General features: G+C 35.5%; 1 protein-coding gene across 7 annotated transcripts in view; it reads right to left on the minus strand.

The window, feature by feature from the left end:
• RNF150 (ring finger protein 150) overlaps nt 1-13,202 on the minus strand; it is a 353,094-nt gene that overhangs the window by 101,218 nt on the left and 238,674 nt on the right. For all 7 annotated transcript variants that reach the window (XM_047415998.1, XM_011532148.4, XM_017008475.2 and 4 more), the window contains one exon: nt 6,599-6,849. In XM_047415998.1, coding sequence (XP_047271954.1) covers nt 6,599-6,826 — 228 coding nt within the window. In that variant the 5' untranslated portion in view covers nt 6,827-6,849. The remainder of the gene's footprint in view (nt 1-6,598; nt 6,850-13,202) is intronic.

Consider the following 13,202-nt stretch of genomic DNA (forward strand, 5'->3'; position numbering starts at 1 on the left):
TATCAAAGCAAAGATTTGAATCGAGACCCATCTGACTCCAAAGTTGGTATCTTTAGCTATTACCCTCTACCAGATTTAACTTGGTTAAATCTTTAGGAAACATGGCACACCAGCCAAATCTTCTCTCCATTTTTAGTTGTAGCCCTTATTCTCCATGTTACCATCTAAAAGACCTTGCTGGGAGGCTTATAATGTGAAGAACATTTAGCAAATATTACTTCATGGGAAACTGAATTGAAATGATCTTCTCCAGGTACATGTGACATGAAAGTGGCCATGATTATGTAAGATGCTGGTGACTTTCTTTTAATTGTGATCTGCACAAAGCCAAGCAGAGACTGAGGTGCTCATCTGGCTAATTCAAGGTCAGTCTCTCTTTCATATACCTGAATGGCTGGATACTTCGACAATGTAAAATAAATGGCTTTGATGTTCCATTTCAGGCTGTGAGCCTTCATCTAACCTGAAAGTCACTCTTTCTGAAGGACAATAATGCTTTAATAAAAATAAATGGTTTAAGTTAACCTGATGCTTATTATAGCTATGACCTGTACAGCTATAACTTTCTGTTGAATGGAGTGGAACACTGGCCATTAAAGCAGAAATATTTTTCTAAGGGAAATTATATGTTATTCCATCCATCAAAGGGCTAAAGTATAGTGTCCATTTGATCAGGAAGGAGTGTTAACTTTTAACATGATCACAATTCACTGAGTGACCCTATGGTAGCATCCTACAATTCAAGGAAAGTTAACAAACTGGGAGGAGAATAAAAATTTAAACCCCATGAACCACTTTCATACCACTACCTTTCAATTTGTTTTTCATATACCTCACAGTATGCATGTGTCTAGATAAACATGCAAGCTAGATCTACCTGCAGAAAGTAACATAATGATTGAAGTCATTACTCAACTAATTCAAGCTTAAGATTTCATCCATATCTCTACTGCCTAATAATTGCTTAAATTATCACAGGCCCAAAAATACAGGGATGCCATTTCTAATATCATCGTCTGATTAACATCTCTCTCTCTCTCTTCTCTCTCTCTCTCTACTCTCTCTCTCTCTACACACACGCGCGCACACACACACACACGTATATATGAATACATATGAAGAAACACATATAGTTTACATTTTTATTGTGTTTAGATAATGATTATACTGTTTTCTAAGAAGAGTTTGCAAACTTTTCTCCATTTTCTTCAGTCTAGAGCTGTGGTCACTAGCTATGTGTGACTATTTAAATTTAAGTTAATTTTAATAAAATAAACTTTAAAATTCTGTTCCTCAGTTACTAGCCACATTTCATGTGGCCACCATATGGCAGTGCATATGTGCATATATAAGACATATATATATACACACACATATATAATGAAGATGTGTATATATATATTTCTTCATATGTATTCATATATACGTATATGATATATATGTTATATGTATATCTCACACACACACACACATATATATATATAAAAGTTTCTCACATGTAGCCCCATATGAACCAACTGAAGCATATTAGTTCTACATCTCATTTTCATTGCCTTGTGTTTGGGATTCTATCCATTTAAATTCCAGAATATTTAATGAAAGTGGCAAAATTGAATTTGTAAGCAGTCATCAAAGAATCTATATGATAATAATAAAGGATATCATTCATTGAGTGCTGACTGAATGATTAGTGCCAGGCTCAGCGGCTTTAAAAGTAATACACATTAATCCATTTAATCCTCACTGTGACCGTAAGAGAAAGGTACATTCCATTTAGTTTAGAAAAACAATGAATAAAGAAATTAAGTAAGTTTCCCATTTTGGGTAAGCAGTGGCACTTCACTACTATGTGGCCATAAAAATCATGTTTTTGAAAATTATTTAATGATAGAGGGACATACTATTCAATAAAAAGCAGAACATAAAACATACATGGATATGTTTGTGTCTTCTGCATATATAGATACACATATAATGAAAATTTACTCAATATATATAGATAGAATTAAAAATACCTGAAAGGTAATATACTCACATGTTGACAATTTAGTGGGATAGTGGGTAACTTGTCTTTTTCAGAATTTTTCTATGATTGTGAAATTTACTAAAATAGCATGTATCATTTTGAGAATCAGATATAAGCAATAAAAATGTTTTTAAACATTGTCCCAGAAGCTACAGAAAATTTAAGCAGAGAATTTGCGATAAAATTAATAGAAAAGGAAGAGATGTCTCCTAAAACATTCCCAAACTTAGACCTCATTAACTTACAGAAAATTTCTACCAATACTTTAAGAATCAGCTAATTCCAGTGCTATTTAAAATGCTCGAGTGCAGTGTTACCCAATAAGACTTTCTGTAGTGATAAAAATGTCCTATACATGCACTGCCATATGGTGGCCACATGAAATATGGCTAGTAACTGAGGAACAGAATTTTGAAGTTTATTTTATTACAATTAATTTAAATAGCCACACATGGCTAGTGACTACCATGTTGGACACCACAGCTCTAGATCACAGAAAATGGAGAAAAGTTTGCAAATTCTTCTTAGAAGACAGTATAATCATTATCTAAACATAATAAAAATGTAAACTATGAACAGATTTCATATATGAATATAATGGCAAACAAATAATAAATAAAACACTAGCAAATATAATCTCACACACATTAGAGGAATAGTATATAGCAGAAATTCAGGATGGTTCATAATGGAAATCCATTAATATCATCCATTTATTTTAATAGATCTAAAGAGAAAACTTAGACTATGGCCATTGGAAAGACATTGGTTAAAATCAAACATCCATTCTTGATTAAAAAATTCTTAATAAGATAGAACTAAGTTGACACTTCTGACATTATATATTTTATAACATGATAAAATATATATCTCAATCTAGAAGACTACACGGGAAAATAATAAAATGAAGAAATGATAAAAACAATCCCATTAAATTGAGGATGTTCCCATTAAATACACAATGAAGAGAAATATGTTCACTGTAACCATGATTACTTTAGTTTATTCTGGAGATTCCAACCAATGAAATGAGATAACAGAAAAAACAGGATGTCTAACATTTGAAAGCAGTAAGTTATCCCTGACTGTAAGCATTATTAATATAGTTCTGCAACACTAATATAAATAATCACAAATACTACAAAGTAGTGGCTAAGGGCATGGACTCTGGAGTTCTGCTGCTGGTTCAATTGCTGGCTCTATTAGTAACCAGCTGTGTGACCTTGGGCAAATTACTTAAACTCTCTGTGCTTACTTCCAACTCTGTAAAACGGGGACAATAAAATTGTTTATTATGGGGCTAGTATCTATTAAGGTGAAAGTAGGTAAATAGAGCGAGAGAGCTCTTAGAACATGCCTGCAGCATATAATAAATGTTATACATTATTATAATTAGGGTTATAACAATGAGGCTGTTAATAATATACAAAATATACAACAATCCAAAATTTCCAATATGAAAAAATGAATTTAAATTATAATGGCAACGTAATGATTAAATACCTAGAACTAACTGAAGAAAAGTGTACAAGATTAATAAATGCTGAAAAGTGCTACTGGGAATAAAAAGAAGAGTTGAATAAGGCGAAAACTTATTACATTTGAATGGGAAGATTAAACATCATAAAGTTACAAATTTCCCCTAAATTATCCTATAAGTTTAAAAACTCATATAATGATTCTAAATTCATACAAAAATAAACATGAAAAGAGTAAAAATAGAGCAATAAAGAAAACAGCATGAACAGCCGTGAGACATTATAATTCTAGAGTACTAAAAACAAGATGGTGCTGGAGTATGAATGGAGACCTAGATTCATGGTATGGTTTAGAGAGCACAGAAATAGAAGCAAGTATATATGGGTATTTAATATATGTTAAATGGGGATACTGCATATGAGGGGGGGAGAGATTAATTATTCAATAAATGCCAGTTATAAAAATGGTAGGCCATCTGAAAAAAAATAATGTCAGCTCTCTACTTCATTCATTACACTGAAATAAGTTATCTACAGATTAAAGATTTAATGAGAAAAAAGAAATTTGAAAAGTAGAGGGTGAAAACATGAATGCTTTTCAGTAATCTTGGTCTATAGAAAATCTTATTATGGAATGGAAATGCTAAAACCACTATGAGATCACACCTCACACCTGTTAGGACGTCTATCATGCAGAAAACAAGAGCTAACAAGTGTTGGTGAGGGTATGGAGAAAAAGGAATCCTAGTACACTGTTGGTGGGAATGTAGATGGGCACAGCCATTAGGGGAAACGGTACAGAGGTTCCTAAAGAAATAAAAAACAGAACTACCATTGAAGATTTACCAATCCCTCTTCTGGGTATATATCCAAGGGAGATAAAACCACCACCTTGGAAAGATATCTGCACCCCCATGTTAATTGTGACATTATTCACGACAGCGAAGATAGGGAAGCGACCTAAGTGTCCATGTGTCCACTGAAGGACGAATGGATAAAGAAAATGTATATACATACACACATACAATGGATTATTATTGTTTATTCTCAACAAGGGATATCCTGACATTTGCCACAACATAGATGGGCCTGGAGGACATCGTGTTAAGTGAAATCAGCCAGACATAGAAAGAAAAATACTGATCTCACCTATATATGGAATATAATTTTTTAAGAAAGGTCAAATGTCCAGAGATAGAGAATAAACAAGCGGTTACCGGAGTGGGGGAGTGGAGAGAAAATGGGGAGATTTAGGTCAAAGGATACAAAGTAGCAGAATGTATCATGAGCAAGTCTAGAGATCTAATGTAAAATGACTACAGCTAAAAAACTGTATTGTATTAGAAATTTCTGTTAAATAAGTAGATTTTACCTGCTCTTGTCATCAAAAAACTATGTGAGACAATAGATATGTCAATTTGCTTTACTATATTAACCATTTTACTGTCTGTATGACTCCCCAAACACCATACTGTAAACTTCAACTATACACAATAAAATTTATTTTTTTAAAAAAGATTAATACACCAGGTGTAGTGGCTCACGCCTGTAATCCCAGCACTTTGGGAGGCCGAGGTGGGAAGATTACTTGAGGTCAGGAGTTTGAGACTAGCCTGGCCAACATAGTGAAAACCCACCTCTACTGAAAAAACAAAACAAAAATTAGCCAGGTGTGGTGGTGTATGCCTGTAATCCTAGCTACTTGGGAGGCCAAGGCACGAGAATCTCTTGAACCCAGGAGGTGAAGGTTGCAATGAGCCAAGATTTTGCCACTGGACTCCACCCTGGGTGACACAGTGAGCGAGACTCCATCTCAAGAAAAAAAGATAATAAATGTAGCTCTGTAAAAACCAAAAATTTCTGCATGGCAAGACCATGGATAAAATAAAAGACAATGACAAGCTGAGGGGTGGTGAGGTGAATCCTATCCTACAAAAAAGGGTTAATTTCCTTGACTAATAAAGAGTTTATACACATTAATAAGAAAATGACAACTCAATTGAAAAGAAGTCAAATAATAAAAGTAGTTACTTCACCAAAAATATTCACTTTTTCTATTGTACTTGAAAAGATGTTCAATGTTACTTGTAATAAGAAAAATGTGGTACCATTTTTAACTTACCAAATCACTAACAATAAAAAAAAGTTATAATATTCTTTTGGTAAGGATATGGGGAAACAGTAATTTTCATATATAGTTTGTTAAAGTGTAAATTGGTTCAACATTTTTTGGCAGACAATGTGGCAGTATCTATCATAGTCTAAAATGTATATGCCATTGCCCTGGCAACTAAACTTCCAGGATTTTACCTTGTAGATATACTTACAAATGTACTAAGTGTCATGTGTACATGTTCTGTTAAGAAGAGAAAACATGTCCGTTAATAGGTGCTGGTTAAATAGACGTGACACATACAGACAATGGAATGCTATGCAGTCATTAGAAGTGAGACGGAAGCTTGGCTTATGTATTGATGTAAATTAATCTGCAAGATGAAGTGAGAGAGAAGCGTACAGAGTTAAGTGTGCTATCATTTGTTGTTGTTTTTGAAATATATGGGCATATGTGTTTATAAGTGCATAGAATATCCCTGGAAGATATTCCAGGAAGAGGAACTGGGTAGCTGAGAGACACACATGGGAAGGCAATTACTTTTCATTATACGCCATGTGATACTTTTTGCATTTTGTACCATGGGTATACATGATATGTTTAATTGCTATTTAAAATAGCTTTTGGTTTTTATCTCCTTTTTTTTCTTCTGTTCACAAGGAGAAAATCTTGGCTCTTTCCAAATTATCTTCACACTATTAGCACTTCCTTTTGTTCCCCTCATTATGTGGATAAACAAATGTCAAAAACATAAGCAATGGGAATGTAGGACAAATCACCTCCATTTTACATAAAAACACAGTAAAACATCAAAATAGATATATTTGGATAATATCTGAAAAATGATACAGCAAATGTTAACAGTGTTTATCTTGAGTGGGGATATTTTGGTTTTGGCTTGGTATTTTCTGTCATGTTCAAAGATGTTTAATAACATTTTTGTAACAATTTTTAAAAGTTTTTTAACTTTTTGCTACTCACCTGGTTCCTATCCCTGGCATTTGCATATCGAAACCTCTGGATGTAATAAAAGACGAGCCATGCGAGGGAAATGATCATCAGGACAATGAAGGAGATGGAGACAAACACAACCGAAGTGCGGCTCACATATTTCTGCAAGTTCCGGGTTCCGATGGTGATGTACATTGTCACGGTGATGTTTCTTTCCAGCAGGCTTACTATCTCCTTCCCTTTTGGCTCAGGAATCATTATGGCCACGATGTCTTCTACACCTGTGGTAAGAGGGGAAGGAAGGGGCAATAAAGGTTAGGGGATAAGATATGGGGGATCCCAGTGAGATGTGTGGACACAGTAACACGAAACCAAATAAGGACAGTACTTTTGAGAATTCTGTGCTGGGCTAAGAAGACCTAATACTTAGAAACCAAGTCAAATTTTCTCTTTCTTCAGCTACCTAGCTTTCTTCAGCTGCTGTTTTATATGTGAAAAAAGAACCTAAAATGCATTCATGATTTTAGTACCAGTGAAGTCATAATCTTGCGATGCCCTTTTCAACTCTCCAAAGCATTGACTCCAGGTCTGGTAAAGGTGGACCCTTCCCAACCAGCCCAGTTTACAGTTCTATGTTGCATTCCATAGATCCCCTGAGGAAGGGAATGGGACTTTGCATTCCATGACAAAAGGGTAAAATGTCCTGTCTTATGCCACCTGAGAGCTCTCTCTCCCCCACACAAACACTATGAATATTCAACTATAGATCTCTCTATATTATTTCCAAGGCAATTTTCTCCTATAGTGAGTACTCAAGCAACCAAAAAAGAACATTAAGAAGCTCTAATATGATTTGCCAACATGAAATTATGGTCCCAGAACTATTTTCTGCTTATTTTACCTAATTCAATGGAAACAGCATGTTTCCACTGAACCACGTACCAAGCAAAGAGAAGTATGGTGCAATGTTTCCATTGAACCACAAGGCACATACCAAGCAAGGAGAAGATGGAAGCAGTACAGATAATTCCAGGATTGTTTCACTTCCACTCTTAGATACTCCCACCACGGCTGCTCCAGTTATTAGACAGCTTGGAGCAAAAGTACCATTTTTTCTTGGGCCACTTTTATATATATGGGTCATTGTCCTTACGCATCATGACACTGTGTGAAGTGAAGCCTCTTGGTGAGGAGTTCTGGGGCCCCTACAAGGAGTTCTTCAGTAATATCATACCAGATTCAAATATTAATATTAATTAATATTAATATTTATATTAATTTCATTAGGGTATGTTTGCAGGAATCACCCCAATTCAAATCCAGGGAGAAAGATGCAAGATGATTAGGGCACAGAGGCCTCGCATCCACATGGAAATATCCCATTACCTAGAGTGACTACAAATTAAAGGGAGGAAATTTGCAACAAGGATGTTGTAGATTCAGGGCAAAATTAAACTCCACTACAGCTGCTTAACGCTGGCTGTATTCACATGTTGAGGTCAGTTAGATGGAACTACCAGGTTACATTTGCTCAGGCTGTTGCAAGTTTCTTAGAATATTACTTAGGGCTTTCCTTTGACCTTGATCTCTGTGCAGGTTTTCAACCTTAAATTCCTTGATGGTGTTTCACTTAGGCTGAACAACTACTTTAAAACTACATATTAAAGTGTCTGTGTATGCTACATCAATTATATATTTAAAAGATTTCTGAAATTTTGCAAATCCAATTGTAAAATCATAAAGCCATAGTATGGGTTTGGCTGTTATTTCTGGGAATAACTGAAAGTGGTGGCTCGATTTTCAACTCTGAAGAATTTACTGGCAATTTTGACGCGCCTTTTCTTTTCATTTTTACTTTGGTTAATGGCTGCATGTGGTCTGAGGTTGTGTGGGGGATTAAGGCTGCTGGCTGGTTTTGTCTCTAAAGAAACATGATCTTCTTTGTATACTGGACTAATCTGGCCTAGTGAGGCTCATCCTGGTGCTGCAGCTATTTAGAGTTACTGAAGTAATGGTAGAATAATAATTTTTCATTTCATTTATTCCCTTATTTATATTATTTTGGCATGTTTACTTAAAGCTCTAGAAGTACATTTTTTTTTTTGGGACAGGATCTTGGGGTTATTTATGAGGCTTTGGATGTTCAGAAATGCACAAGTTTTACTTTTTTTTTTTTTTTTTTTTTTTGAGACAGAGTCTTGCTCTGTTGCCCAGGCTGGAGTGCAGTGGCATGATCTCGGCTCACTGCAACCTCTGCCTCCCAGATTCAAGCAATTTTTAGAGGCCTCAGCCTCCCAAGTAGCTGGGACTACAGGTATGCGCCATCATGCCTTGCTAATTTTTGTCTTTTTAGTAGAGACAGAGTTTCGCCATATTGGCCAGGCTCGTCTTGAACTCCTGACCTCAACTGATCCACCTGCCTTGGCCTCCCCAAGTGCTGGGATAACAGGCCTGAGTCACCATGCCCAGACTTACACTTTTTAGTAGTCAGATTTCACTAATATATTCCTCTATGGCTTCCAGTTTTGATACTCTTTAGAACTATTTAGAAACTATTTTCCACCCAAGATTATAGAAATACTCATCTAAAATAGCTTCTCAAAACCTTACAGCTTTACTTTTTACATTTAAATCTTGAGCAATCTTCGATTTAATAACAATATTTATTGAATTCTTACAATGTGATAAGCAGAAAGAAGGAAGATTAGGATGCAATTTTTTCCCCTAAATTATCAGATATATTTGGGTCAATTTTGCACTTTTTGCTCTTGTTGTGAGGTTGACCTATCTTTTGCTGAACCTGTAACAGGCTGTTTTAGTTGTATAGCTTTTAACATATTTACTATCTGGTAGCCTAACTCTTCCTTCACTATCCCCCTCCCCACCCATACAATATTCCTAAATTACTTATACTTAAGAAACTAGAGTCTAACAGAGTTGGCTTCTGGACCTGGACAGCTTGTTTTAAATCCCAGTTCAGCATTTTAAAAATAGGCAACCAAATTTTGGATCTCCACAAGGCTTTAAATACTCATCATCCATTTTCAGGGACTTCAGAAAACACTTTTTCTTCCTGTAGGGTAAAGTATAATTAACTATTTTAAAGCATTTATTTTAAACTTCAGTGCTTAGTTACACCACTTGTGTTGTCTGTGCCACTGTTGTGCCCTCATGACATATAATATCCACTTAGAAAGACAAACAGTGCAAATGGCAGTGGGGAGGGCCTGTTCATCTGAGCTTCAACCTTATTCATTTTCAGTATTCATAATACATTTCTAGAGTTCATCATGGTAAAAACAGATGAGATTTTGGGAGATTACTCTGGTGTGCTTTAGTCTATTGTGCATGGTGAAAAGTGATACTAGGGATATGTATTTATCCTAATAGAAACAGTCACTAAGAATTTAGGTATCTAGGGTGTCCAAAAAAAGATATAAAACAAAGTGGATTTGGATGAATTATCTTATTCTGATGAATGCACAAAATCCAGGGCAAAATGCTCCTCCAGGATCTATATTGTTCAACTGAGGCATGTGCACTGATATGAGTATCAAATTCCCTGATCTTTGCTTCATTTTGGAATCTGCAGCTACAGTTTCAGGGAGAAGCCAGCAGGTTCTCCCAAGTATACTAGGATATGCTTTGCTTCTGTGGGTGGGTGTGAGGCAGGGAAGGAGAAAAAGGGGTGGGGCTAGGGGGAGTGGTGCAAGCCCAGCACAGTGATCTGAGAGTTCAATGCTGCCTTAAGTAGCTACTACGCATCTATGACATTCCAAGGCTCAGGGAAAAGAAGTTAACAAATAGCATATTTGGTATGGGAAAACCCACAAGGAGGTCCGGCTATTTGGGCAATTCTATTTACTGTGACACAGAGTGCCTCTTTTTGCAAAATTATATCAGCCTACTATCTATTTTCCTCCCAAAGGCACTTTATACTTGAGTGGTGAGAAGTTGCTATTATGTAATTATTGTGTGCTCTGGAAAAGCTCTACAGTCAGGGAGAAAATGTGTGACCAGGACACATATGACCTGGCTGCCAGACGACAGCAGAGGAGCATCCTGTATTTTTAGTGCTTCCTTTTCCCTTGAGAGTGCTCCATTGCCAGGATCTAATTTGGTATATGCAGATTAATAAGGAATCAAAACAGAAGTTCACAAAGCCAAATATTGTTTAATAACTAGGAAAGCTTTACTTGTAAATTCAAACCAGGTTGTTTAGACATTGTATTAATAAAATATCTAGAATAGCAGTACAGTGCTAGACATTTCACAAAGCCTGTAATCCCATTCTTCCCTGGGACCCTGGAGAGTGACAGCATCTCTCCCTGGGTTTGTTTGATCAAAAATCCTTTTTCAACCTCCTGTATTCTTTTCTCTACACTAATCTTTACTTCAATCTCAGTCTCACTGTTGGCCCTCTAGAACTTAGGTGACAAAAAAAAAAATTTATATTGTCCCATTTGTAGATATTTTCTATTTGTACACTTAATATCCACTTTTTCAAAACTATAGTCCTCAGGTGACCAAAAAAACTTATATTGTCCCATTTGTAGATATTTTCTATTTGTACACTTAATATCTACTTTTTCAAAACTATAGTCCTCTCTTGTTGATCATTTATTCTCAGGAGGAATGTGTATGAAATTATTTTAAAAACTGCAAAATACCATATAAATGTAAAGTGTAATTACTACTTTTTGCATCAACAAGTATATTTTTAATAAACACAGATGTAAAAATCCTAAATACAGTACTCACAAACAGAATCCAATAATACAGTAAAAAAACTTCATGACCAAGTGGGATTTATCCTAGGAATGTGAAGATGATTTAATATTAGAAAATATATTAGTACATTTTAGTACATTAACAAATTAAAGGAATAAGGCATACAATTATATTACATAGCTAGTTGTCCTCCAATATTGGGCCTTTCTTCCTTCTACAGTATGAATGTTTTAGCTAGGCATAGGCTGTCCAGTGAAAAGGCTCCCCTGCAGCTGGGTGTGGTGTGTGATTAGTATTTGGTCATCTAGGTGTGAGTACAGATGATACTCGCCACTCCAGGAACTTATCTACAAAAGAACTGAGTGTGTGCTCTCCAGGTCCCTTCTCTCCCTTCCTTTTGACTTCAGATGGAGAGACATGAGCAGCCAGCTTCACAGAGAAGGAACCCATCTGTTGAGGACTGAACTCATTCCTGATTCTTTTTATGAGTAATAAAAGGAAATTTCTTTAATGTGATAATAAGTATCATTAAGAAATATTCCATTAAATGGGGGAAAAGCACTGGAAGTTTTTCAGTTAAAATCATGAATAAGACAGGATGAGCCAACATTGTAAGAAGTTATACTTGGTGCAAGAGACAAAGAAATTGGATGCTAAGTCTTGGAAAGAAGAGCACACACTATCATTATTTGGGGTATCACATGACCATGTATAAAAGACAAGATAATTATGTTATTAAAATTAGAAAACCATTCAGGACTCTTCTCAGAAGTTACAGAGGGGAATCCATATTGACAAATGCAGACTGTACCTCCCTACCATCAAGTAAGTGATGAGAATACTTAAATATATACAATTTAATGTTGTCAATTATACATCAGTAAAGCTAGGAAAAATGTGAAAAAACTAGAAAGAAATAAATTATTCAACAGCAGTAAAATAAGTAAGTAATCTGTGGTTTACTTTTACTAAGAATTGATAATTCACAATGTCTTGACAATGTCACCATGTCTGTTTATGAGAGAACTCAGTTATATTTGTAATACATGTACATTTTCAATCTGAGGTATTTCATTTTATCTTTAATTCTGAAACATTTTTCTTCATATTTTATTACAGTATTTCCTCCTAAATTTTTTCTCTCCTGTGATTCCTATTATCCTGTTGGGGTAGCACCTCCTTTTCTTCCTCCATATTTCTTATACCCCTCTCATTTGAAAAAAAAACTGTATTTTGAAATAATTATAGACTAATAACAAGTGGTATAAACATGCCGGGCATGGTGGCTCATGCCTGTAATCCCAGCACTTTGGGAGGCTGAGGTGGGCGGATCACCTGAGGTCAGGAGTTAAAGACCAGCTTGACCAACATGGTGAAATTCTGTCTCTACTAAAAATACAAAAATTAGACGGGGATGGTGGCGTGTGCCTGTAATCCCAGCTACTTGGGAGGCTGAGGCAGGAGAATTGCTTGAACCTGGGAGGCAGAGGTTGCAGTGAGCCAAGATCACACCACTGCACTCTAGCCTGGGTGACAAGTGAGACTCTGTTTAAAAAAAAAAAAAAAAAAAAAAAGAAGAGGTAAAAACAGTACACGGAGGTCCTATGAACCAACCTCCCAGCTTCCTCTGATGGTGTCATCTTATATAATTATAGTGCATTATCAAAACAGGAAATTGGCAAAATATAATTAAGTAGATTATGGAATTTATTTGGATTTCACCAGTTTTTGCATGTACAAAATTTTAAATGTCTCTGTGTTTAATTCTATGAAATTTTATCACATATATAGAGTCATATAACCACTAACACAATTAAGACACTGACATATTCCACCATCAATAAGAAATCCCCTCACTCTCTGCTTTCCCTTCCCTAAGCCTTGTATATTCTCCATATTAATT

Source organism: Homo sapiens, chromosome 4 (genome assembly GCF_000001405.40).
Source record: "Homo sapiens chromosome 4, GRCh38.p14 Primary Assembly".
Classification (NCBI taxonomy): domain Eukaryota; kingdom Metazoa; phylum Chordata; class Mammalia; order Primates; family Hominidae; genus Homo; species Homo sapiens.